This window comes from Homo sapiens, chromosome 1 (assembly GCF_000001405.40).
Source record: "Homo sapiens chromosome 1, GRCh38.p14 Primary Assembly".
In the NCBI taxonomy this organism is placed as follows: Eukaryota; Metazoa; Chordata; class Mammalia; order Primates; family Hominidae; genus Homo; species Homo sapiens.
Window position 1 is genome coordinate 166,144,311 of NC_000001.11, and position 26,670 is coordinate 166,170,980.

General features: G+C 47.1%; 1 protein-coding gene, 1 long non-coding RNA gene and 1 other non-coding gene across 6 annotated transcripts in view, besides 8 other annotated features; 1 reads left to right on the top strand and 2 right to left on the bottom strand.

Moving 5' to 3' along the window:
- Window positions 1–22,691, bottom strand: part of FAM78B (family with sequence similarity 78 member B) — a 111,084-nt gene extending 88,393 nt beyond the window's left edge. For 3 of the 4 annotated variants that reach the window (NR_135199.2, NM_001320302.2, NM_001017961.5), the window contains exon 1: window positions 21,676–22,691. Coding sequence is in view for 2 of the 4 variants with exons in the window: in NM_001320302.2 (NP_001307231.1) it covers window positions 21,676–21,938 (263 nt within the window). In the remaining 2 variants the exon portion in view is untranslated. The remainder of the gene's footprint in view (window positions 1–21,675) is intronic. The other variant, NR_163271.1, reaches the window with a different exon arrangement.
- Window positions 5,742–5,911: an enhancer, noted in NCBI's record as "experimental_978 CRE fragment used in MPRA reporter constructs". NCBI's record gives its function as "activates a minimal promoter by MPRAs in K562 erythroleukemia cells, with activity observed for the introgressed 1:166119374 variant allele {active_cell/tissue: K562}" and the evidence as "EXISTENCE:reporter gene assay evidence [ECO:0000049][PMID:34662402]".
- MIR921 (microRNA 921) lies at window positions 10,433–10,488 on the bottom strand. Its single transcript, NR_030626.1, has one exon. It is a non-coding gene; the product is annotated as a microRNA 921 (primary transcript).
- Window positions 21,558–22,460: an enhancer, noted in NCBI's record as "H3K4me1 hESC enhancer chr1:166135105-166136007 (GRCh37/hg19 assembly coordinates)". NCBI's record gives its function as "activates a minimal SCP1, AML or CMV promoter by ChIP-STARR-seq in primed H9 embryonic stem cells {active_cell/tissue: H9 hESC(primed)}" and the evidence as "EXISTENCE:reporter gene assay evidence [ECO:0000049][PMID:30033119]".
- Window positions 21,567–26,670, top strand: part of LOC112268276 (uncharacterized) — a 175,024-nt gene continuing 169,920 nt past the window's right edge. The window contains exon 1 of the long non-coding RNA XR_002958633.2: window positions 21,567–21,744. This is a non-coding gene — a long non-coding RNA (uncharacterized LOC112268276). The remainder of the gene's footprint in view (window positions 21,745–26,670) is intronic.
- Window positions 21,632–21,801: an enhancer, noted in NCBI's record as "active region_2023". NCBI's record gives its function as "activates an Ori minimal core promoter by ATAC-STARR-seq in GM12878 lymphoblastoid cells {active_cell/tissue: GM12878}" and the evidence as "EXISTENCE:reporter gene assay evidence [ECO:0000049][PMID:35858748]".
- Window positions 21,902–21,951: an enhancer, noted in NCBI's record as "active region_2024". NCBI's record gives its function as "activates an Ori minimal core promoter by ATAC-STARR-seq in GM12878 lymphoblastoid cells {active_cell/tissue: GM12878}" and the evidence as "EXISTENCE:reporter gene assay evidence [ECO:0000049][PMID:35858748]".
- Window positions 22,342–22,401: a silencer, noted in NCBI's record as "silent region_1507". NCBI's record gives its function as "represses an Ori minimal core promoter by ATAC-STARR-seq in GM12878 lymphoblastoid cells {active_cell/tissue: GM12878}" and the evidence as "EXISTENCE:reporter gene assay evidence [ECO:0000049][PMID:35858748]".
- Window positions 22,442–22,931: a silencer, noted in NCBI's record as "silent region_1508". NCBI's record gives its function as "represses an Ori minimal core promoter by ATAC-STARR-seq in GM12878 lymphoblastoid cells {active_cell/tissue: GM12878}" and the evidence as "EXISTENCE:reporter gene assay evidence [ECO:0000049][PMID:35858748]".
- Window positions 24,966–25,025: a silencer, noted in NCBI's record as "silent region_1509". NCBI's record gives its function as "represses an Ori minimal core promoter by ATAC-STARR-seq in GM12878 lymphoblastoid cells {active_cell/tissue: GM12878}" and the evidence as "EXISTENCE:reporter gene assay evidence [ECO:0000049][PMID:35858748]".
- Window positions 25,866–25,945: an enhancer, noted in NCBI's record as "active region_2025". NCBI's record gives its function as "activates an Ori minimal core promoter by ATAC-STARR-seq in GM12878 lymphoblastoid cells {active_cell/tissue: GM12878}" and the evidence as "EXISTENCE:reporter gene assay evidence [ECO:0000049][PMID:35858748]".

A 26,670-nucleotide genomic window follows, 5' to 3' on the forward strand; every position in this document is an offset into this window, starting at 1 on the left:
TGGGCCCGATTTTCCTTATGAATGATCTTGATGTGGGTGTCACAGGAATGAAATCAACAGATGGCAATACATTTGTAGGAAATGAAAGAGACAGATTTAAATCCAGAATCACAGGAACCCTTAAACTGCTTCTATGCAAGGAAGGCATATGAACATTAAATATTTTTGAAAGGATTAGCTCAACTCTGATCTGTCTCTGTCCAAAGGTGGGAGACAGGGATGGGGAGAAAGAGGTTGGTTGTTGTCCTCATGATGGAGCAGGAAGGATCAGAGAGTAACAGGGTGGGCGGAAAGGGGGGCAGAGTGAGGTCCCCATTCATCTTAAACTGTACTAGCTCTTGACAGACAGGGAGTGGGTGGCTGTTTATCTCTCAAACCTCAGCTATTTTCTCCAGCAACAAGGTGTAAACTAACTTTCCTCAAGGCAAAAAATCTTCAGCTGCAAGAGGGGAAAAGCACATCAAAGGTATAGAGCCCACAAAAGAAGGAGAGACCTGCCACTTAAACCCCCTTTCTGTTCTTTACCATGGCACCTCACCCAGGGGTTTTGCTGTGAACCCATCAATCTTTCCATAAAAAGGCAACCCACTCCTCTGATTTCCTGTCCATGGAAGGGAGAAGTTTGGGGTTTCTTTGGAAAAGACAGAGATGGGGTGAGGGTTGGGAGGACTCACCACCACCTACCAGACTTGACTATCATTTTAAAGGATACATCAGTCCCCAGTTCCTTGAATCTCAAACCACACCAAAGAAGACAGGTGGGAGGATGGGGGAAATGCCCTCAACTTGGGTCAGGTCTATTCCAGTCATGGTAAAGATTGTACCAACTGGTTGGCCCTGGGACAAAAAAGCTGAACCCCTCTCAGCTTCTGATATCCACAAACTAAGGAGGCCAAGCACTGCAGGAATCACCATCCCTGCCTCAGACTTCCACCTCTTCCATCAAAGCTGCTTCCATCAAGTTTATCTTTGCAAGTCAAAGGTGCCTCCTAAACATGGTACCAAAGCAAGATTTTACATGTTGGGTGTGCTTCCACCTGTCTCACTTCCCTGCCTGAAGCCTACGTTCCCAGGGTGCATTAGGGCATCCTGTAGGTTGGCACCAGGTGCCATCATGTCAGCAGCACTTTGCCCATGCTTTCAAAGGGAAAGAGGGCGTTTTGATGGGCAAAGAGGAGGATGTAAGGGCCTGCAAGGTACAGGATATTTGCCTGCCTCTCAGTTGCATGGAGGAGGGGAAGGGATGAGTCAGATGTTTTCCAAAATTCTCTTCCAGCTGCTTTAGGACTCTAAGACAGGCCACAATGCATTATCTTAGCAAAAATCCAGCAAAACATCTAGTCTTGGATCTGTAACTTATCAAAGACAATCTCAAGTCAGACACATTTTTGGCATCAAATGAAGCCCATCCACGCAAGCTTTTCAAATGAAAGGTGACTAACACTTTTTCTTGGTTGGCTGCACATTAAACTGATGTTAAATTCACAACCTGAAGGCCAGTAGTGTGGTAAAGTAAACAAATACTGGATAATGAGTCAGAAGATACTGTTTTAGTCTTTTGTCTCCTCCTTCTGGCTTTGGACAATAAATATATTAAGGGGTAAGTTATTGGTCTAAAATTCTCTTTTTTTTATTGTGTCTCTGCCAGGCTTTGCCCCTTAAGTCTCAGTCTTAGTTCTTTTCATTTGCGAAGGAGAGATGATAGCTTCTCTGCTTCCTCTCACAGCTACTGTGAGGAGCAAAAGAAATGTGAATGAGAGCACTTTGTAAACTTCTACTACCTGTATGAAGGATGAAGGATGGTTATTATTAACATTGTTTGAAAGGTCCAGAATCTTCCCTGAGGACAATTCAGGGGGATGCTTTAAAACATTAGTTCAATGGACTCATGTCTCACAGTGCCACTGTCATTCTGTTGAAAAGACTTCTGACCCAATGACCAATTTCTATTTTCTTCACTCAGGGTTTTACGGCATCTGGGATCACAAGGCATTATGTTTATTTAGGATACTTTCTGAGACATTTCTTCTATGTTGAATCAAACTGATTGATTTTCATAGTCCTCTCATACCAAGTACAGTGCTTGCTATAAAGCTGGTACTTGATAAAATAATAAATAAGGGCTGCTGACCGGACAGGTAGGATGATGCAGTCCTACGGAAATGAAGATGGACAGAAACTTGCTCTTGTTTACCAGTTTTAGGAGGAGATTTCTATAACCTAACTGGGCTAAAAGCACTCCAAGGTCAGAGCTCTACTAGGCCAAGGGCAAGGGGGGTCTGAGGTTGCCTATGGTAGTCTCCCCACATTCAAAAAAAGGAGGTTGGGAAGTTGCGAATATACAATGGGTCAAGGGCGGCACATTAAGCTGATGCTCAAATTCAGAAGGCAGAGGGGAAGTGGGATGTTAAAAGTAGACAAATCATAGATAATGAGTCTTAGGGAACATCTCAGTCAACCTTTCAACAATAGTAGAAATGGCCTTCTGAGCATTGGCATTCATTTCATTTGTGCTGGCAGGAGTTATCCTGAGCTTCCTCTTTGCAAGCTTCAGATCATTCACTTCCCTCTGTATTGAATGTGCAGGCTTGGTTCACCACTTTGTGAGACTAACCTACGATCTCTCCTTGCAGGTCTGATCCTCACATCACCAAGCACACACACAAAGCTGTAAGGTTCCTAGACATTCTAAGCTCATAACCTCATCCCAGAGCTTTGAGTTCTGGGTCTGGTACTCACTTGACTGGAGTTCATGAGAGACCTGATCTAGGAGGAGATAATCCGAAAGAGCCTTACCCTAGGAGAGGTGGTCAGGAAAGAACAAAGTTCAGCTTAGTAAGTGCAGCAGTGGACACAGGGAGGGGAAACTTGCTCAACACCAGGATAGGAAAGGCTGGTTGTGTGTGTGGTGAGCACAGTCAGAAAAGTCCTAGGGGTTGTTGAAGGTAACAGTCAGCCTCTCTTACTGGCCTGCTGTGGTTTCAGAGACAAAAAGCAGGCAATGCCAGGATGATAACGCCTAAATGAGCATCAGTGGGCAGGAGGCCCAGGGATGTCCTCTCATGGCTGCAGCCAGCTCAGGCCAGACCTTCTTGGGGAACTGAGTCCAAAGGATGAATAAGTTAGAACCCATAAGGATGCTTTAGAGAACTGGCACAAGTCTGCCTGGAGAAGGCTGGATGGGAAATTACAGTATTGTCAAGGTGTTTTTATGGGTCTACTGCGTTCCCCGTGCTCAGACAGTTAATGTGCCTGAAATCACACAGCTAGTAAATGGTGCAAGCAAGCAGGATTTGAACTCACATACTAAGGTTCCAAACACCATGATTTTTTTTTTTTGAGACAGGATCTCACTCTGTCACCCATGCTGGAGTGGAGCAGTGCAATCATAGCTCACTGCAGCCTTGGCCTCCTGGGCTCAAGCAATCCTCCCACCTCAGCCTCCCGAGTGGCTGGGACTTCAGGTGCACACCACCATACCCCAGGCTAATTTTTGCATTTTTTGTAGAGATGGGGTCTTGCGCTTTGTTGCCTGGGCTGGTCTTGAACTCCTGGGCTCATGTGATCCTCCCACTTCAGCCTCCCAGAGTGCTGGGATTACAGGCATGAGCCACTTCCTTGACCCAAAGTCTGTGCTTTTTAATGTTGCCTGCAATCAAAGAGGGGTTAAAGGAAATTAATTCTTGGTGACGGGTGGCTTCTGAATCTCATGCTCCTCTCCATTGTGGTACACTCTTCCTGTTAATCTAACACTTCAACTTTAACAACAGTGAATCTCTCACTTTTTGTAGAAACCCATGTAGAAACAGATGAATGCAAAGTAAGATATGAGGGGTCTAGAGAGCTGGTAACGCAAATAATTCAACTCTAATCAGATGTTTTAAGGAGTGTCTTATGGCTAAAAGATAAATCTTGAAATACTTTTGGTACAGTAATTTGGCAAGAGCGATTGCAATAGTTTTGCCATGGTATGTTCAAATTATTTGCTGTGCCCAGCTTTCCCAAGCCCTGCTCAGAATCTGAGGTTCCTTTTTCTCTTTCAGGTGAAGCATCTATATAAGCATGATGGTAGGCAGAGGCCTAGCTTTGGAATTATTCTAACCTGGTGTTATATTCTGATTCTGGCACTGAAAGTTTGGGCAACTTACATGGTCTTTCATGAGCCATAGTTTCATTATATGTGAAACAGAGATAATGTGAATAAGTGTTAAATGAGATATCATTTGTGTAAACGCCTAGCACCTCATGTTCATCTGTGCTCATTAGGTGATGAATCAATGATGAAAATCTGTATTAGAAAAGGATCTGCCCAATGGCAGGCGGGCAGCTGGGATGCAGCTCAGACTTCTAATGGGAACTCAACGGAAATGAGAGAGGAGACAACCTGTGCTGTCACTTTGAGCCAGGAAGATCAGATGACAAAGGGAGCTCATATCCTTTTCTCCCAATGCAGTTGTCCATTCAGCTAGGTTATTCCTGTAGACTGTCATCCCACCACAGAGTGGGTTCCTCACATAAGTGATAAGCATTCATAAAAATTACATTCACTGTTCAATTCCCACCTATGAGTGAGAATATGCGGTGTTTGGTTTTTTGTTCTTGCCATAGTTTACTGAGAATGATGATTTCCAATTTCATCCTTGTCCCTACAAAGGACATGAACTCATCATTTTTTATGGCTGCATAGTATTCCATGGTGTATATGTGCCACATTTTCTTAATCCAGTCTATCATTGTTGGACATTTGGGTTGGTTCCAAGTCTTTGCTATTGTGAATAATGCCGCAATAAACATACGTGTGCATGTGTCTTTATAGCAGCATGATTTATAGTCCTTTGGGTATATACCCAGTAATGGGATGGCTGGGTCAAATGGTATTTCTAGTTCTAGATCCCTGAGGAATCGCACATGTACCCTAAAACTTAAAGTATAATTAAACAAACAAACAAACAAACAAACAAACAAAAAATTACATTCACTGAATTGAACTGTTATAGAAAACAGATATCTTAAACTCCATCCTTTGAGGATTTCTTAGCTTTTTGTATGAGCTTGGGCAATTCCTTTTTACCTCTTTTTACATGTCTTCTCACCTGTAAAGTCAAGGAAGAAGACTGGGATCTCCAAGGTCTTTTCAGCTTCAGAAGTTCTATCACTTTCCCCTTTTCCAGTATCAGCTACTTAAAGGGAGTAATCAATTTGGAATTGGATGGCAAGTGTGGCCACCTCCTAACCACGTAAACCTGCTGAATCAGTTCAGCATGCAGAGCCTTGGTTTTCTCTCATTACATGGAGAACAATAATACCATCTCTAAAAGTTGAGTGTGAGGCTCAATAGGAGTAACATACATGGAAGCATTTTTGTAAACATTAAAGTTCAAGCCTAGCCTTTTTCATTACATTCAAGGTTTATATGGCCCCAACCACCTTGAGCTCCATATCGTAGAATACCTCCACACAGGGAATCCCCATGCTCCATCCCCACCTCTGGAGAGTGTCAGCCTGCTGAGTGCAGGGTGATACTAGGCATGTGTGCCTTCTTGGGGGTTGCTGGCTGCACCTTCCAAATGACTGCTTTGCCTCTTGGTCTCCTCTCCCACCTCCCTTCCCTCTGCTGGTCCTTCCTAGAGCCACCTGGAAGAGAAGAAAGCAACAAGCTTCCTGCCTGCCAGAAGCCAAATGCTAGTGCAAAGTGAGCCTTGGGGGTAAGGTCAGGGAACAGGTGCAGAGAAACCTGGAGCTAGCTACTTCGGACTCTGATACTGCATAGGGACAATGAGGATGGCTGTGCCTCAGGGGGGGTTTGTGATGTCTGAGGAATGCATCTCAGAGAAACTGGGTCTGCTGAGGCAGCAGTATACCCCAGGTGGTTGTGCCTAGTGCACAGTGGGACAACGTGCTGGACTCTCTTGTCCTTGGCCTTAGACCCAAACCCTCCCAGTGCCTTGGCTCCCCCTTCACCCCTAACAGTGGAGTGCTAAGTAAAAAGAAACCTCAGTTCTTTTTATCAAAGAGCCTTGCCTAGATAGGCAGCTTGCTTTGAAAGACAGTCATTCAAACCAGAAAAAGGAGACATGAAAAGCTTACTTTTCTCTATAATTGAGGAACAGAAGAATATAGTAAGTAAATCATAATAGACTAAATCTCCTGAAAAACTCCTACATTGCAAGTTTCTTCTTGAATACACAGTTGAATTTGCAAAAATAAATTCCTAGGGGTCAAAAATGAAGAGGAAGCCCACAACTCAAGAGGTAAGCAGCCTCATCCTCAAAATGTACAAAGTAAAATGTGAAAAAACTGCAAAAAGAGTTACGACCACACTAGCATACACAAATTTCAACACAAATTTCATACACAAATTTCTATCATTCTTCTCAAATGATAGATCAAACATAAAAATTACCAAGAATATAGAACATTTGTACAATACAACTAGCAAATGGGATCTTATGGACAACAAGAAATACACATTCTTTTAAAGTATACATAGAAGCAGGCTGGGTGCAGGGGCTCATGCCTGTAATGCCAGCACTTTGGGAGGCTGAGGCAGGATTACCTGAGCCCAGGAGTTTGAGACTAGCCTGAGCAACACAGTGAGAACTTGTCTCTACCTATATTTAAAAAATAAAAAAAATTAAAATATATAATAGAGGTAAATCAGAAATGTTTAGAAGTTGGATGGTATGACCCAGAACTGGGGTTTTAATCTGGTATAGAAGTTGATTTTTGCCAAGGAGCTTGCAGAGAGATTCACCTCAGTTCTGTGCTGGGTTATAGAGGATGGCATCAGAGAAGAATTTGAACACTTGAGACTGGAAACAAATGCACGTAGACTTGTAATAGCTCAAGAGTTCAATGCTACCCTGTAAATTGGCCTGTGCTTTTGAAATGTCTCAATGAAGACAATCTGACTGTCTCGTCCACTTCTTTCTCTCTGGTTACTCTGCTTCAGTTTAACCAGGGGCATTTCTGATAGAACATTTCTTCAATGTTTTTGCTTTTTGAGGATGGCATGAAAACATTCCAAGATTTTCCTTTTAGTGGAAAGTCGTTAAGTACTAGGGTATAATTCTAGATTCTAATTCTGATGACCAGACGTTTCAGGAAGCACCAGATGTTGAAGGTAAATCTTGAAAAAACCCTCCCAGCATCCAAGGAAGACTCTCCCTCTTAGAATAAAGCCCTAAACATTCCTGGGTTCTGATCCAGAAGCATCCTGCTTTTCTTGGCTCAGCAGTGAGTTTGTCCAATTGTTGGCCTAGGATCCCTCAATCTGAAGTCATTGATACAGCCACAGAAACCATGGCCAGATGTAAGTGGACAAGAAACCATCTTAGCTTCCAGGTGTTCACAAATACTCCTCAGTAGGAGCTGTACCCAAATGTCTCTGCTTCAAGTGCCAGACCCACTCAACTGTTCAACCATTCGGCTAAAGAGAATTAGCTGCTTCATGAAAAAGTAACTATGTACAGATCCCAAGGTTCAAGTTCAACAGATAGGGTTTCCGCAAAAACTTTATCATGTAGACAAATGCTACCTCTCCCCTACTGTTCAACTTTGACGGCCCAGTAGAAGGAATGAGCCCATTAGCACTAAATCCATACCAGTACTTAACTTTACCCCGGGCCCAACTCTCAGCCTAATTATACAACAGTCCCATCTCTGAAAGACTTTTCAATTGTGATTACGCAACCCCACAGGTACCCAGATTATCTAGAGTCTCTGTCAGATACAGGTTCTGAAAAGACAAATTTTCTCAAAGACATTTTAGAATCCCAGCAGCCCAGGCACTGGCCAGAGAGGAGGATGTCCACCGAGGCTATAAAGGGCCCTTCAGTGTTCCTAGCTCCTCCCCTCTCTGGAATCTTCTAGCTAAAGCCATCTGCTCAGCCATCCAGCTGGAGATGTTACCCCAGGGAGCTTTGCAGCAGAGAAGCCCGTGGTGGTTGTTGTTCTCAGGTGTCAGGGATAGGGATGGGAGCAGCTGCTAACCTTGCCCGGGCCTTTCAGTTCCACGCTGGCGGGATGCGGCAGGACCAAAGGTCAAGAATTTGTCTGGTCTTGTCGTGAGAAACTAGGCCCACCATAGCTTCCCTTGGCCCTGTCTGCACCCCATTAATTGTTCTCTTTTCCGTATTTTAGGATCTACTCTTGATATCCAGGCCTTTAAGATGCTTGCCCAGAGGACAACCATGTGCTTAAGCTTCTTTCATACTCCCTCTCTGCTGCAGACTTGCTGTGGATGAACTGGCCCCGGACACTTGTTGAATCAATCCCCCTTTAACCTGTGCCCTCTCCCTGGATTCCAAACCCCACATGCTCAGGGGAAGTTCTTGGTACTCTGGATTTATTTATTTATTTATTTATTTATTTATTTATTTATTTATTGATGGAATCTCGCTCTGTCACCAGGCTGGAGTGCAGTGGCGTGATCTCTGCTCACTGCAACCTCCACCTCCTGGGTTCAAGAGATTCTCCTGCCTCAGCCTCCCAAGTAGCTGGAACTACAGGTGCACGCCACCACACCCAGCTAATTTTTGTATTTTTAGTACAGACGAGGTTTCACCATGTTGGCCAGGATGGTCTCGATTTCTTGACCTCATGATCTGCCTGCCTTGGCCTCCCAAAGTGCTGGGATTACAGGCGTGAGTGCGCCCAGCTGGTACTCTGGTTTTAACTGTTCCCAGCTTCCTCACCAGACATCCAGAACTCTAGCTGAGTTGCCCCTTTAGATCACAAGTAATTTTCTTTATAAAGATCATCCATGGTTTTTGGAAACCCACTCATGAGATGAAAGTAGACGCCCAGCCAGGCTTGGAGGCAACGTGGAAGACAGAGTGACTCATGGGCTCCCAAGAGAAGGGTGAATGGTTCTGCTCCAAGGGTGGAGAACAGCTTTGCTCTTCCAGCTGTGGCTCCTTCCATATTTATCTCTCCAGAGAGAGAGGGGGAGCACAAGTCAGGGAGTCAATGAGAAGTGGGGGGATCCAGGGGTCTGGGGAAGGGCATCTGGCTAAAGCCCTGCAGCTTGAAAGAGTGACTATCCCAAGACAAGCAGAGGGTCAGAAACCAAGCCGGTAGAACTTGGGATGGACACAAAGATGAACAAGTAGTTCAAAGGCAGGCAGGAACCTGGCAACAAATACTGAGAATCAGGCAGCAGGGCCAATCGATCAGACAGGCAGGAGCCCTGTGAGTTATAGGACTTGGAACAGGACATGCCAGGCAGGCAGGACAACAGTGAAGGGTCCACATAGCCCAAGAAACATGAGGATGCCTCCTCCTCTACGCAGGTCTCCAGGGAGGGTAGAAGCCTGGTCCCAGTGCAAGCTTAGAGAAGGAGGGCCAGGCTGCAACAGGACTATGTAAGGGGGAGGTGGACCACATGACATCGCCCTGGATTCCCAGAGTCCTCATGACAGGAAGTGTGGAGTGGTACAGAAACTACAGCTTTAGAGTAAGCCAGGCAGGCAGTGATGGCAGGATGCTCGGAGGTATATACTCGTCTCCCTCTGCAGTCCTCCCTCTATACCCCCCTTAGATCCCAACAAGGGCAAAGCAAAATGGGGTGTTGCCTAGACCTGTTCCCTCCCATTCTTCCCCAACCCCACCTCCTTTAGGGTGAGCAGACACAGCACCATTTGATCATGCCCCTATGCTGAAATGCCTCAATAAAACAAAACAATGACAAAAGAATTGACTGAAACCAACTAAAAGCCACAACAGAGACAGGGTCTCCAGGCTGCTAGGATATCCCTCTCAGACTTCTCCCATCTGTTCTGCTCCACAGAGGCCTCCCAGCTGAGCCCTGCTGTCAGGGGAGGGCCCCTGGCCCCCTCACAATCTGTCATCTTTGACGCTACTTGGATCTTATTTCTTCTAGAGCTGCCAGGGGCTAGGAAGATACCTTGCCTGTGTGTGGGTAGGGGCCAGGAGGGCCATGCATGCCATCAGCACCAGGGCTAGGGTAAGGGGGGTATTGAGGGGTGGAAGAAAGGGATTCTGGGTTGTTGGGAATCCCGGCTAAATCTCAATTTCTCCATACTTTCCCCTTCCCTTGGGCTGCCAAGCCCTCCCATCTCCTGCCATCTGTGACAGGTGTCTCTGGGGAGACCCTCTTCTTTCTTGCTTGCTAATCACTGCATATAGACACTGAAAACAGGCTGGACTCTCTGCTCCTGGCAACTGTGTAGACATCCCTTGGGCTGATGTGAGTTCCTCTCTGTGCTGCCAAGGGATGGATTCTTCCTGCACCCTGTGCACTTTCCTTTCCTGGGCAGGTGGCCATCTCTGCCTGAAGACCTGGACCCTCAGCAAACCTGGCTGGGGGGCAGGGGCAGGCAGTGATGAAAAAACAGGGGGAGGTGACCACTGACTGCTGCTTTGAAGACTAGGTGTGCTGGGTGCCTCCAGCCCTGACCCACAGAATTAGCCAGTGATCCAGGCCCATGGACCTGAGTCTGAATCCTGGTTCTGTCCCTCACTAGTTGTGGCACTGCCCTTTTCTGGGCTTCAGCGTCCCCATCTGTAAAAGAAGCAAATGAGCTAGATGATTTCCCGCACCATCCTAACACCCTGTAAGTTAAAAATGATTCTGTTGATCTACCACTTGCATTCTTCTGGCCATTTCTCTACTCTTTAATCAAGACCCTGCTGTGACTGGTAGCTGGTAACAGTCACCTGTGAGGTAGCTGAAAGGACAGAGGACTGCCTCTGGTGCTGGGATGGTCCCCTGGGTCTGATCCCAAGACCCTGGTTTCATTACTATCACATCCTGAGCAGCTGAGTGAACCAGGCAGCTGGGAGGCAAGGAGACTAGTCATTTCCAATTTGATTTAAACCTTTTGTTTCCCAAGTCTCCTCAGCAAGGACGAAAGCAAACACTCAAGCAATATCCTGAATACTTCCTGATCATTCATTCATTTGGACATTCATTCATTCAACCCTTATGAGGCAGTACAACATCATAAGGAGTCACAGGAATTAGTTTGACCTGCTTTCTAAATCTGGCTCTGGCACTACTTAGCTGAGTAATGCTGGGCATGTTATCCGACCGCTGTAGGCCTCCGTTTCATCTCTAATATGAGGAAAATAATGGTGCTACCTACTTTACAGACAGTGCATCTAAAGCATCTGGCACACACTAGTTGTTATCATCATCAAGTTGAGTAAGTTGCTCATGGTTTCACGGGGAGACAGACGAGCACATAGCTGCCCATCACTCAGTGTGTGCAGGTTTCTTAGCAAAAGACAGGCTCCTTGGTTCTGAACGTCAAGAAAATAACTTCAACAGGAGGTTGGGGGTTAGTTTGTGGCACAAATCACTCATCCTTCCTAAAGAAAGTGAAGATGGTTCGTGGAAGCTTGAAACAGATTCTCAAATCATTAAGTGATAACAAAAAATCTATTCTTGAATTGATTTGCCCAGCTCAGGTGTGGGGACTGCCATTTTGGAATGGAGGCTCAGCGTGTGTGGTCTCGGGAGAGGGAATAGAAGGTAAGTAAGATCCTGCTCTCACAGAACGGGCATGTCTGATTCCCTTCACGCCTCTCTTCCCCTACATATCCCAGCCTGAGCCCCCATGCAGAGGGCAAAGCAACATCTAATTTGCCTGTTTCTGGCAGCTCTTGGACTTGCCAAAGCCTGTACCTGCCGCCACACATGCCCCAGAAGCCTCTGCCTGCTCCTTCGGGATGCTGCAGAAAGTGCTGACTGCGGATGCCGATTTACCGCTTCCCATTAGCCAGGCCTCTAACAGCCTCTGAGAGCCTGTGCCGGACACAGGCCCACCAGCCAGCTCTGAAAGGTCAGGCCCCAGGAGCAGGAGCCAGCCAGAGGCTTTGCGAGGCAGGCCTCGCACAGTGACCCTGTTGATGTGCCATCCTTTATTTTGTTTTAATAACAAAATGGCCTTATTTATCTTGTTTTAATCTGACAGCCTGAAAATTTCTCTTTGCGCTTGTTGAAGACATTTAGGTGGTCCTGTTTACCCTCTCTTGTCTTCAGACATCATAAATGATGCCCTTAAAAGTGTCCACATGCTGTCTGAGCCAGAGGTGCCCAATGCACATGGCTCTGAGGATGACCTCTCCCATCCCTGACTCCCATTCTTGGTTGGCTGATCATGGACTCAGTATGGAGGGCACTGGGAGAGGAGGTGGGATGCCTGAGCATCAGGCCTGAGTCTACCAGTGCTTGCCAGGATGACCTTGGGCACATAATTTAATCTCCTTAGGCCTCAGCTTGCTTATCTGAAATAGGAATAACTGTTGTCCTACATGTTTCATGATTATTGTGAGGTTAATTATGAGAGGTCCCCTTATAAAGAAAACAAAAATCATGAAAGGGACCTGCAAAGAATAAAGTACCTTAAAAATAGCTTTGGACACAAATGATTTCAGGTGTTGGTCTCACTGTCCCCCTAAGGTGGAAATTGCACAACCTTCCTGAGCATGAACAGCATGGCTCACATGCTCCAGCATCACCCCACCCTCAAGTCCTTGGCTTGGACAAACTGTAGCTCCTTCCCCCAGCCTGAGTGATACTGTTACCAAAGAAGGGCTCAGGGATAGGACAGGAAGTCCCCATAAGGATGTGGCTAGGCTGCAGGCATCATGCCTAGGGATTAGGAGCAGCCAGGGTCCTGGAGGCTTCCCAAAGTCTACAGCTTAGAGGAGAACAAGGAGGGTGACTTCTGAGTGACATGACGTCAAGGGGGCGGCGGAGGGGGGGGGGGGGCTCCAATGCCTTCCTCTGAGTTTGAACAGAAAACAGCCCTGGCTCCAGATGTACAGAGCAAGCCTTTCTCCTCCCCTCTATCTTTGAGTGGGTTTGTAGGGGAGGTTTGTATAGCTGACATGCCAGAGACCCCTCTCCAGAGTCTGAATGCTTCTCTGTCCAGGGAAGTTGCAGGGCCACAGCCACAACCTCCCTGTTCCTTAAGGCTGATCCACAGTCATCCTCTAGCAATAATAACGAGCATGCTCTGTAATAACAAAAATCACAAGTGTTGATTCCTAATCCGTATGGCATTAGGATGGGGAGATCTTATTACTGTCCATTTATGTACAGGCAAACTAGATGCTGGCTTATTAAGGGACCTGCCAAAGGTCATGCAGCTGGCACTGGGACCCAGATCTTCTGACTGGAACCCTGCGCTGGGGAACCAGCAGCTAAATCTTCCACTGGCACAGTGAACAGTTCCAACTGGCATGTACCCCAGAACCTAATGAGGGAGCAGGGTCCACATGGGCCTCGAGAAAAGGAACAGTGCAGGAATTCTTGGGAGCCAGAGGTATGTCCAATGAGCTGATGACAAAGCCAGGGGTCCCTTCCACCACCAGATGGGAATCCTTGTTCTCCTTCTCTTCCTAATCATCCACCCGAACAGCAACTGCCCGGAGAGTTTGAGGGATGAATAGCTATCCATATCCAGTACCTGGGTAGTCTGGGTGACTGTCTGCTGGGGCCCAGGGCTGCCCATTAGGGCCTGAAGGTGTAGGCACACGGCTAAAAGCTACAGCCCAGACCAACCAGCTTGCAGCCCGAGAACTGAGGATGTCGTCCCCCTGCTCCCAAGGAATGTGCTCCTCAGCATGAAAGGAGCTTATTCCCTGCTGTCTTTACTCCTGGCCCCTCACAAAGATATGGCTCTTACAGCTAACCACCAATGCCATTCTCAAGGGGAATGCAAGGAGGTTCACACACATGATCTCAGAGCAACTTACTCTGTTTCCAAAGGAGTGAGGAAATACAGAAATCAGAGAAAACCAATAAAGCTAGGTCCATTATCACTATTTTGCAAAGCAAGTTCAGAGAACCCCCTTCCTGGGAGATAAGGCCATCATCTATTAGAAACAGAATACTAGTCAGGTGTGGTGGTACATGACTGTGGTCCCAACTACTCGGGAGGCTGAGGTGGGAGAATCACTTGGGCCCAGGGGATCCAGGCTGCAATGAGCTGTGATTGTGCCACTGCACTCCAGCCTGGGTAACAGAGCAAGACTTATCTCAAATAGACGGATAGATAAATAAATAAATAATTTTTAAAAAGAACCAGAGTAGTCAGAGCACATGAGCTAGACTCCTGGCACGGCTCCTTGCTGGCCATGAGGCCTTGAGCTAGCTACTGAGCATCCCTGGACCTCACAATAGGATAACTTCCCTCACTGGGTAAGATTTCAATGAGGCCATGCATGGAAAGCACCCTGCACAGTGCCGGGCACATAGACCTTTCACGTGTGTTATTTCCCTTCTCTTTCTTTTCCTTCCCAAACAGCATCTCCAGACGTTCCTCGATCTGGACAACTCTCCTGGCACAGGCACACTCACACCTTCTTCACTAAAACCCAAAACAACAACAACAACTCTAGAACCATCCTTAAATACCACACTGATTTGGATTAGTGAGAATAAGAGGCAACTTGCCTGATGACTCTGCCTCTGTGGGGGAATATCCCACTCTGTGGGCAGTTCTGCTGCTGGTGTGCAGGCAGGCACCAATCCCTTCCACGGACCCTCAGCACCACGAGGACTCTGCTTCTTTGTAAGTATTCACCAGGATGCTCTGCTACTGCTAATTTCCTGTTATTTATCTTCTCAAAGGAGTCCATAATAACCAACTTATAAATGACAGCCACTTCTTGTGGCCTGCTTGGTGTTAACACAACAGAAGTTGTGGCCCCTCTGTTATCTGTGACAACTTTTTCTTATCAGTAGATCAAAGTGGTCCAGGGAAGGAAGCTGGGTAAGAAGAAAGCCATGCTATCAACTACTTGGAGCCTTTGGGCAACCCTAGGCTTCCTTGCAAGAAGCTTTGAGGAAAAGAGCTAGGTGCATGATGACAGTAACAGCGGCCATAACTACTAACTTTTCTTGTGCTGATATGAATGGAGGGCTGACCTGTCCCCCTCACAGGCCAAACTGTGGCAGTATATAGAAAGCCAGGACACAGGGTCAGAAGACATGGCTTGCAGTCTCAGCTCGGCCACTTACTTGATGTATGGCCTCAGGCAGGTTACCCAACCCCCTGAGACTCAGTTTCCTCATCAGTAAGATCAGCATGACAATAGTACCTAGTTCCCAAGAACCAGGGGGATCAGATGAGAGGGTCAGATGAGGGGGTCAGATGAGATCAGAATGCAGTACGAATTAGAAGGAAAGGGGATATTTGGGACTGCACACCCCACACCAGACTTTGCATTTCCCTTTCACTTGCCAGTCTGCATCCTTAACCTGGAACATGATGCCTCTGCAGACCTGCCCCTAAAACAGCATTTGTCCCTGCTGCCTGTGGAAGGTCACTGATACTTTGCAGTCTGATGCCCTCACAGTCCATCTCCTGTCCTTGCTTTCCCCAACCCATCCAGTGCCCTGGAATGCAGATTAATATCCCAGGCTACACAAGCCACAATTTGTTAACTTCCCATTTGTTTCTCCCCCTCTACATCTTTCCCTAATCATTTGTTTCCTCCCCTATCTCTCCAACTCCTCCTTTGACTCCAGAGTTGTGCTTTATCTCCAGTGAGCTTAATGCTTCCCTGATAAGACCAGTTAATCCTCTGCTGCTCCTCTTTTGCAGAGATGGAGGAGATTAAAGGCAAAGGGTCATCTCCCTTCCAAGGGCACTCAGGACTTTAATAAAGGAACTGGATCCTGCTTTCCCATCTGATGCTCTAGATTGGCATCCCCAGTGTTTCTGCTGAGAAGCAGTTCTGGTTATTTCCAGACCGTGAGCCTCCTGATTGGAATGAAATGGAAATGGCGGGGGGAGAATGGGTATTGGTCAAGTGGCCTGGAGACTCATCAGGCTCCCTGGACAGATGGGCTGATCTGGTCCTCGAGAGCAAAATGCCCAACTGTGTGACCATCTCTATGGTCACCAATGAAGGTCACACTTAAAGCCACACTGGGCATGTAGCAGCATGTAACTGGTAACAAAAAGGGGAGCTCTAGCTTGGGGGACATAACTGTACTAGCCAAGGCCTTTAGCCTTCTCCTCCACAAGTCCGGGATTAATGAGTTAGTGATGCAGGTGGAACAGTGCCACAACAAGGTCTCCTTGGGTACACACTGAATGCCACTTTACAGCATGTAGGTGATACGAGAGCAAGGCTTCGGTGTTTGCTGAACACCACTCCCAGTGTACAGAACACCTCAGGGAGACAGAGGAAGTGACAGAAGTAAGCCCTGTGCTGAGAAACAAACCATCTGGTGGGGTAACACAGGACAAATAACGCAAAAGCACAGCGGAGTTAAACTATATATTAGTGCTAAGTAACTGCTGGAGTGTCTTGGGTTCAAGATCTTTGTGGGTTCAGGCTTAGGTTTAACATGAAAAGCTAACTTTGAAGAGACATTATTTGTTGAAGAGGACAGACTATTTGAGGTCAGAAAAATAGTTTATTCGTTTATTTTGTATCAAATGTTTCTTGAACATCTGCTATGGGCCATGCACTGTTCATAAACAAGATGGACATGACATCTGCTTTCATGAAATTTACACTGTAATGGACAAGTCAGAAATTAAGTAAACAATTATATTCTCACTAATTATATTCTTAGTAATGGTAACCAGTATAAGAACAGCGCATCTTGAAGGAAAAGAACAGGAGGATCCCAATTTCAACTGTGAGATCAGGGATAGCCTCTCAGAGGAGATAGCGGCTGAGACCGGAATGAGGGGCAGGAAGTAGCTAGAGCAGTGCAGGGAGGAAGCACATTTCAGATGGAGAGCGGCATATGGAAACGTTCTGAGTTGGGATAAAGTTGGTTCTTTTGAAAGACTGGAAGAAGGCTGACAAGGCTTAAGAACAGAAAATCAGAGAACAGAAAGAGATTTTCTTTCTTTTTTTTTTTTTGAAACAGACTCTCGCTCTGTCAGCCAGGCTGGAGTGTGCAATCTTGGTTCACTGCAACCTCCACCTCCCAGGCTCAAGCAATTCTCGTGCCTCAGCCACCAGAGTAAATGGGTTTACAGGCGTGTGCCACCATGCCCAGCTACTTTTTGGAATTTTTAGTAGAGATGGGGTTTCACCATATTGGTCAGGCTGGTCTTGAACTCCTGGGCTCAAGTGATCCACCTGCCTCGGCCTCCCATGCAAGAGATTTTCCCATTTTATTCCAATTGCAATGGTAAGTTATTAAAAGGTTTAAGCAAGAAACTAATAACATCTACATTTTTAATACATCACTCTGGCTGCTATGTGGGAGGCAGACTGGAGGGGGACAAGAATGGTGGTGACAGGTTCAGTTAGAAAGTCTCTACAAGAACAGGTGACAGTTAATGGTGACATGTCCTGAGATGGTAGCAGTAGACAGAGAGAGTGGTGGCTGGATTACACACATATTCTGGAGATGGGATCAGTAGGATTTAATGATGGGCTGGATGTGTGGGGAAGTATCTAGGGTGACATACAGATGGTTTCGCTTGAGCAACTCAAAGAGTGGAGGTGTTGTTTACTAAGATGAAGAATGGCAAAGGTGCAGATTTAGAGTGGGAGCTATAGTGGGGATCGAGAGTTCGGGTCTGGATACCCTAAGCTTGAGATGTCTTTCATTGTGTCATGTCATCATTGTGCGAAGACACACACACATCTGGACTGGAGGTGACTGTGTATCATAGAGGTTATCTCTCACCATTAGGATGGATGAAATTACCCAAGGAAAGCATAGAACAAGAAGAAAAAAGTCCCATTAACTGTACTTTGAGGTAAGATGGAGTTACAGGAACAGCGGAAAAATAGCATAGAAGTTAAAAGATGGGAGCAGTTCCACACAGAGAAGCCCGTCTACAAGGAATGCTGCTGAAACGGTGAGTCTCTCAAAAGTGTCTGAGGGATTCGGCAACATGGAAATCACAGACGAACTTAGCAAGAGCAGTTTCAGAATGGATAGAGATCAGCTTGGACTAAACTGAACAGGCAACAGAGGTGAGCGGGTACAGCCAAATCCTCAATAATCTTGATTCTGAAGGAGGAGTAGAGGGACAGGCAGGACCTGTCTCTTGAAGCTATGACTGAGCTATGACTTCCTAAAGTTTCACACAGGCCAAACTTTTCCAAATTGGCAGTGGAGATGGTTTCCATACTATCAGCCCAGCCTGACCATTAAAAGTTCCCTTATAGCCCCAGAAGACTCAAAGAGAATGAGAAGGGGCTTTAGCTATTGCTGGTTTTCCCTGACCTTGTCTTCATCTCATTCAACCCTGGCACAAGAGCCCCATTCCTTGCTCAAATCTTACTCAGGAAACCTCTTCAGCGTTGTACTCCAGCATTCAAAACTGTTCCATTATAAACGTCTTCCACTTCTGTTGGAAAGCTTCTGCATACTCAAGAGGTATAAAGAAGATAGGAAGAGCTTCCTGACATCCTCTGTCTGGTCAAGATCTGACTTTAATCTTTTCCTTTTCCAGACTATGTTATTCTGGGCCCACCCAACAGACCCCAAGCTACCTTTCAAACCTCATCTCCTACTGTTCTCCTTCTTGAACACTCCACTCTGGCCCACTTATGCCCCCTTAAAACACCTTCTATTTTCCTACCTCCATATTTTTGCTGGTCTTCCCCTTTGGAATTAGTCCCTCCTCCTTGCCTACCTGAATATTACCCATACCTCAGAGTTCACCTTGAGTCCATTCACCTCTAGAACACCCTGCTTGGCCCGCCAGCGCTCTCAGGCATTTCTTCCACACCACCAAAGAGCGCTGCTTTTCTCTGCATTTGTCGTCTTATAATGAGAAGCAGTGAAAACTGCCTGCATATTCCTTTTTCTTTGGTGCTGCTGCCTGCACAGCAGAAGCATTTGGTAAATGTTTGTATATTGACAGGTTGATTGAGAGAGTCAGGAGCCCTTCCTCCCCGAGGGATGAAGACTTGCAGCAGTCTGTTCAAGGCTGCACTAGCAAGATTCACCAGGGCCAAATGAGAAATAAATAGGTGCCACAACTCTTCACCAGCCTGGTTTCTATAGAATCATTCGAGGAAGTGCCATGGAAATGAGTTCAAGTTCAAATTAAGCTCTGGCCATCATAGCCATCAACTATTTCAAATGTTCTTTTAGAAGCCTACCCCTTCTTGGAAAAGTTTACAATTTAAACCACAAAACCTCAGGCTTTCTTTCAATCCTGTAAACAGGAGTTTCTTGCCATTTTATGTTGTGGATTTCCTCTGGCACAATCCTTTTCAAAATATTGAAAAGGCAGTTTTCTAATCCAAACCCTTTCACCATATTGTGGTTCATGTGACAGAACACTGCACAGAGGTGAAAAATCACTCCATGCTATTTTTTACAATCCAGATATTGGCTAAAGTAGACATAATAACTAATAGACTGCAGCAACTTTCATGCAATATGAATTCCCATTAAAAAGTTTACACTAGCAAAATTTTCCAGGCATAAATATCTTGTGGAAATTGGTTCATTCAAATTTGGGCTCCAAAGTGGCCTTTAACACATAGCAATTATTGCAACCATGAAGAAACAGGTAGACTGTGGACACAAATCTATAATAATATGCTTTATGATTTATTGGGGGTCTATTTTTGCTCTCCTACATCTACATGAAAACCAAGAATCTTAAAATATCAAAAGTGGCAGTTTAAAAACAAAACCACTTTCCAAATCCCAAATGCAAGGATTCAGTGGGGAAGGGTCAGGAATCCTGTCACTGATTCATATCCATTAAAGTTGGTTCCAGTGAGGACATACCTTCCCTATAGATTCCAGGAAGTTCAACTACCATGTCTGTTTATATCTCAACTTGACTTCTCCTAAGGTAAAGTAAGTTTTACGGAAATAATTCTGTATTTATATATTTGCTTTTACTTATTCATAAGAGATTTGAGGCAACAGAGAGTTCCGCTGTGCAGTCTTGGGAAAAGTGAGGCTGCTTCTGCACAGTCACTCCTGGCTTCCTCTACCAGGGGCCCCAGGCTGCTGTGGGGAGCACTTGCTGTCCTCCAGCAACCCACTGCCATCAGGGTGAGGCCAGGGAAATGAGAGGAAGGGCTCTTGCCCTGCCTGTGGCTTTCTCTGACTTGGCTGGAAACAATGGATTTATTTTAAAAAGCAGTTTTAAGAGACACATGTGTTCACATATAATCATTCTTTTGAGGGTATGTCAGTTTTTAAATGGCATGATTCGCCCCAAATAAAATATCCCCCATTTCTCACATCTAGCTGTCTTCTCTGGAAGAATACAGTGTGCTGAGGCATATTGGAAACTGGGCCTCACATTTCTTCACTAGGAATTGAGTTTTCTCAAGGATTAAGCTTTTGTGCTTAAAGAGAAAAGTGCAAAATCTTTGGGAGGAAAAAAGGAAAACAACGACCTGTCAAATTTCTTTTAGCGCCTATGACTAGTGTTAACTGACATGCTCTCAGAGTGCAATAAAAAGCCTGCAAACTGCTGCTAAAAAGATGGTTTGACCTTTTAAAATGGGAACTCCCCCACCCCATATCCATATTAAATAGACGAACCTTGGGAGCTCTAGAGTTTTAGATTAATAAGTGAAATGAGGTTGAATTTCCAGAAAAAGGGTTTCCCTGTAGGCTGCAGACTGGCTAATTAGGGTGTTCTAGACCTACATTGTAACAGCAGGTAGAAGGCAGGCCCTAAACCTTTTAGCTATTGTCGTTGCCACCTGCTCAGAGTCTAGTTCTGAAAGGAGGCGGGTGCGGAGTTATGAAAATTTGGTAAATATAAAAGTCCCGGACGCGACCGCCCGTAGCCTGCGGCCCCTGGCGGTTGAGGAGCCGCGGCGATCCTTGGTCTTCACCGCAGCAGCCAAGCCCGGCGCGCACCAACCGGCGCTGCTGAAAGTTGGAGAGCTCCCAGCTCGCCGATAGAATTCGGCGGTGGGCGCCAGGGGAATCCCTTCCAGTGCCGCAATTAGGAAAGTTTTAAAAAGTAAGGACCCTAGACAGACAAGAGATCCATCCTTTCCTTTAGCATAAGAAACACCCCGCGCCGCGCCAGCCGAACGCTGCTCGCACAAGGCTATCCGCCCTTCTTGGCCGGGACGCACTCGGTGCCTTCCAGCTCCCCACCAGAACTGGTCCAGGGGGCGCGGAAACAGAGAGGCAACTGTGTCCGGCTTGTGGTTCCAGACGGAAACGCCTCCGGGCTCCCTGGCCCGGGGGACAAGGGTTCGAAACTTCAACAGTCGCGAGGGCAAGGACAGAACTACCAACTCCCGCTCGGATGCCCGGGACCTGCTCTTCCAAGCCCGCTCCGGTTTCTCCAAAGGACGCGCGGCACAGCCCATGCGCCCCCGGCACTCCACTCCACTCCTCTATGGTTTCCCCCAAACTCTTCCCGGGGAGCCCCACAAAGCACAGACGGCGCCCTGAAACTCGCCAGGCACTCGCCAGCCATCCCCACCTCCGCCTCTCGAACCCTCCTTGTCGCGTTCTTCCCGCCCCGCACCTTTCTCCTCGCGTTTCTGGGAAGTCAGAAGCAAACCACGAGAAAATGCCTTCGCAAGGAGCCTCCCTACACCCGCCCTGTCACTGAAACAAAAGCGTAGGGAGGAGGGAGGTGGGAGAGGAGGCGGGAGGAAGGTTTAGAAAGACGATGGGGACAGCAGTAGGAAGGAGCTGGGGAGGGGGGTCAAGGTGGCAAGCAGAGCTGGGGGCCCAGAGTCCGCTCCCGTGCCGCGCGGCGAGTCGCTTACATGCCCAGGTCGCTGTAGGTGTTGAAGAACTCCATCTGATTGCACGCCTGAATCCAGCCCACCACCCAGGTCTCGTGGCGGGGGATGGGGGGCATGACCACGCGGGCGGAGGCTTTGAAGTAGGGGGTCTTGTAGCGCAGGACGATGGGCGAGGTCTCCTCGATGCGCGTGGGGCACTGGTCGATGGTGGCGCACACATCGTACACCACGATGTTCTCGCGCCGGATCCGCGCCTTGCAGGTGATGCTTTGGATACAGCCCATCCTGCAGCCCGGTGCCGGCACGGCGCGGCGTGGGGCAGCGCGGGGGCCCGCGCGGGCAGCCGGGGGCGCCCGTCACGCCGGCATGGCGACGCGCCGCTCGCTCCCGGTCAGACTCAGCTCGCACCTAGGAGCGGGGAGCCGCCGGGCATCCTTGGGGAAGCCCCCTCCTCTTGCAGCCGCGCGGGGTCCCCGCTGCCCCGACGTCCGCCCACGCCCGCCCCCTCGCTCCGGCAGGGCGCGCGGAGGGTGCACTCCTAGGAGGCGGCGGGTGCCCTCGCCGGCTCCAGCGCCCGGGCGGAGGGCAGGGAGGGGAGCGGCGCTGCGAGGAATGGTGCCCACCCCGGGCCGGAGCCCCCCGCCCCTCGCCGGAGAGGAGGAGGCGGCAGCGGCGGCGGCATGGAGCCGGGGGAGGGCGGCGGTGGCAGCGCCCGGTCTGTCTGCCTCCGCGGCGGCAGCAGCAGCAGCCGCCGCCGCCGCCGCCGCTGCATGAACCTCTGCACCACGGCTGCCCCCCGCGTGCAGCGCACCCAGCGGCGGGCGAGCGGGCGGCCCAAGAGGCAGGCGGAGGCAGCAGCGGCGGCGGCGGCGACCGGAGCTCCCGCCGGCCCCGCCCCGTAGCCGGACCACACCGACACTCCTCGGCCCGGCTGCCTCGGCCCGGGGGGCGCCAGGAGGCTGTGGCCCGGGGTGGAGAGCCCCAACGGCTGGAGCAGCACAGGACGTGCTCCGCGGAGGAAACTGGCTGTACGCCATGAGTTTTGTCCCTATTCGGCTGCCGTCCGGGTGGGGGGGGGGTAATGTGTAAGGGTGGGGGTGTTTAAAGGGCCGCTAGCGCCGGGGTGGGGCCCCGCACGTGGGGCTGAGGCGGGGCGGGGCCCTGGTAGGTGGTGCCCTGGGGTGGGGGTGGGGGACTAGGGCGGGCCCAAGCGCCACCGGGTGGGTGAGGCCGAGCAGGGCGCGGCGCTGTCCAGAGTCCAGTGGGGAACCCGGTAGCCCAGTAGGGGCTGTAGAGTGAGTGTTTCGGGCAGCAGAAGGGTTAGGGGAACAGCTTTATCAGAGATTGGTCGTTATTCAGAATATAGCTTGTTGGATTAGATTTAGGCTTGAGCCCTTTTAGTATCCTACCTTCAGAAAGGGTGAAGGGCGGGCTCCAGCAGCGTTACTAAATGCAGTGTATTTGCCTCTTTGCCTGACTGGGTTTGTTCTGGAAGCTCTTCTTTCCACCACTGTGTGTAGTGGGGATACCGGAAGAATCCCTCCGTACTCCAGCACTAAGTCTCTCATATGCCAGAGTTTTGGCAGACATTGGGCATTGTGTACAGTATGACCACGGTCATGTGTCTGATACTGCAGTCTAATGTGCCAAACAGGAAGAATATTTAGCAGATGCTTTTACTAGGCATCTTCTTACATTTTTATTTTCAAAGCCAATAGCTTCTAAGTATTTCTTCTGCGATCATTGAACATTTGCTGGATCTGCTGCCCAAGTGTGAAATACTGACTAACAGGCCGCAGGAGGTGCTAGAGTTAGTCTTTAGCTAGGACAGGTGTGACGAGTAATTTAAAAATTGATTGAGATCTAAAAGCACTCTTCATCCTTGTTTTAACTGTTCTGACACCTTGGTTCACTTTATAGTTAACAAAAAAGCAGTTTTTCCCTTTGATGACTCGTCTCTCTCATTTTACCGTGTAGCCACAGACCTCAATCACTGGTCCTTTCATTCAGCAAAGGCTGACTGCCTGCCTGGCAGGAGCCAAACATAGTGCTAGGTACTAGGGATTCAAAGTTGAAAAAGAGCACATGGATCACTGGAGAAAATAAACCTGTTAACAAGTTATTATAGTAAACTGTGACACCTGCTTTAGTGGGGTTGTGTATCCAGTGCCGTGGAAGGCCAGACATGTAAATCTCTGGCCACATGTAAATCCCTCAGTGGTCAGAGAGCCACTCAGTGGCTCTCTGGCCACTGAGAGATTTACGTGTGACTTTGCTCAAGTAGTGACATTTAAATTGAATACTGACAGACTGTAGAGTCTCACTGAAAAGAGAAAGGTGAATGAGTAGTACAGGACCAGCATTTGGCAAATGCAAAATGCATAGAGATATGAAAGAACTCATCCTGTACTGAGGGGGAGAAACAACTCACAGTCAAGGCATTTCTCAAGGTGTTATGTGTCGACCATGGGCATCAGAATCACTGTCCAAGAATCAATTGGTTGTTGATAGACCATATCTTTTTTCTTTTTAAAATTAAGACTACAGACTTTATTTTGATTTTACTAGTTTTTCCACTAATGTCTTTTTTTCTCTAGAATCTAATCCAAGATATGATGTTGCATTTAGTCATTACATCTCCTTATTCTTCTCAATCTGTGACAGCTTCTCAGTCTTTCTCTGTTTTTCATGACCTTGACATTTTTAAAGAGGACTGGTCAGATATTCTGTAGAATTGTTCCTCATTTGCATTTATCTGATGTTTCCTCATGATTAGACCAGGGTTTTGGATTTGGGGGATGAATACCATGAAGATGAAGTGCCTTCTCATTGCATTATGTCAGGGGTACATGATAGCAATATGACTTTTTACTGGTGTTATTAACCTTGATCACTGGGTTTGGTGAATAATTTTTTTAACTTTTAGGTTCAGAGGTACAGGTGCAGGTTTGTTATATAGGTAAATTGCATGTCATAGGGGTTTGTTGGACAGATTATTTTATCACCCTGGTAATGAGGATAGTACCCAATAGGTATTTTTTTTTTATCCTCTGCCTCCTCCTACCCTTCACCCTCTAGTAGGGCCCAGTGTCTTCTCTTGATAGGACCTTATCTTAAACTTCAGTGGAAGCCAATGAAGGCAAGCCATGCATTTTGAGAAAAATTACTCTGCATCCATATAGAGAATAGAGGAGGCAGCGTTTCAGAATATTGTGATGACAGATACTTTGACCCTCGGCTAGCTTGGGGCAGTGCTGTGGGGCTGGAGAGGCCTGGCTGCATTTGCATTTAAGAATCACTTAGGAGGTAAATGTATTTACTTGGTAACTGAACAAGGTGATAGAAGGGGAAGCAGCTTGGGACTGTGGGTGATGTCATGTTAAGTTCGAGGTTCTTGGAGGTATTTGGGGGGCAGGGTGGGGTCAGAGTTTGAGTTTCAGTGGTTATTAGGTTCCAGGCAATAGACCAAAAGGAAAGCATTTCATTGGGGAATGTAGTTATGTTTCTTAATTTGAGTTGCTTGTCAGGCTGCAGTTTTGTGGATAAATAACTCCTTTGTCTTCTGGTGACACATGTTAAACCTTCATAAACGGGGAGGGGAATGGCAGCCTTTCCCAAAATATAGGGAAATCACATAAGGAAGAATATCTTATTTTTCAAACTTAAAATAAGATTTTGTTATATTTAGTAAAGCCAATAAAATGTAACATTATTCATGGACTTGGACCCTTGACATTCTCAGAGGGTTCATCCATGACCTTGGTGAGTCTCCAAAATCATGAATGTCATCATGGCATATAATTTCCACCATAAAGTACGGTAAAGTGTAGCTGAAAAATGTAAAGAATCTTTTTAGACTCTTAATGGTTCTATGAATATGGGGCCAAAGTAATTTCTAAAGCTACTTAAATAAATTTTGCCATTAAAATAAACTTCTTACTTCATTACCTTATATCTTTACCTTATTAACGCCCTATTTCCCTGACTCTGTGAAGAAAAAATTGATCACAGTATGAGAATTATTGTGCGGATGTCGATGAGAAAGTAAGGAGAGCTAAGTGGTACTGGGACACAAATGCCAGTGTTAGGAGTGGTCATTCACTAGCTGAGTGGCTGGCAAGTACACTCTGGCCTCCTGGCAGCCCCATTCAAATTTGTGTCTCAGCAAATTACCTCATGACAGGGACCTTTTGGATTACTCACTGGGGGTTTTTATCATTCATGCATATTCAGTCTGCAAATGCCAATGCAGGGCTATCTGTAGCTCAAATGAAATCCCCAGAATTTGCAACAGTTTCTCTGTGCTGCTCTTCTAAGTTTCTCTTTCTGTCTCCTCATGGTAAGTCCCTTGCTTCTATTAACACCTTTAAAGCTGTTTCACAGTTCCTTGCTCACACTTGTCTCTCCCAATAAGCTGTTCACTCCTCAAGAGAATGCACCATCGTGCCCTGTTGCCCAGCCTAGTGCGTGGCACCTAGGTGCTGCTCAATAAACATTTGAATGACTAAAAGTATTCTTAAAAATCCAATACAACATTTCCCATACATCATATTTAGTAGAATGCCAATAAAATGTAACATGATTCACAGACATGGACCCTTGACATTCCCTATAAGCTTCCCTATAAGCTCTGTCTCAATACCTGCAGCAAGCATATGTTTTTATTCTAATTCTTTCTGCACTGTACCTCTTTGTCCCCCCACTCTTTTCTTAATGTGGCTCCTTGATGTTAAGTGATGCCCTTTGTCTTCGAGCACTATACATGATCTCAAGGGTTATCAGTTCTAGACACCACGAAAATGGGAAAGCTCCAATGACAAGACCTTGACAACAATCATTCCTTGTGAATAACTTCATTGGAGTTCATTCTCAGGGCACAGAACAAATGATCCTTTGTACTTCAAGCTTCTGATGTTCTTGGGCATGACAGAGCTCCTCAGTTCCCTGAGTTAGAGCTGTGCTGTGCACTCTCCAGGATGTTGGCCTCTGTGTCCCCTTTACAATCCACTCCTTTAG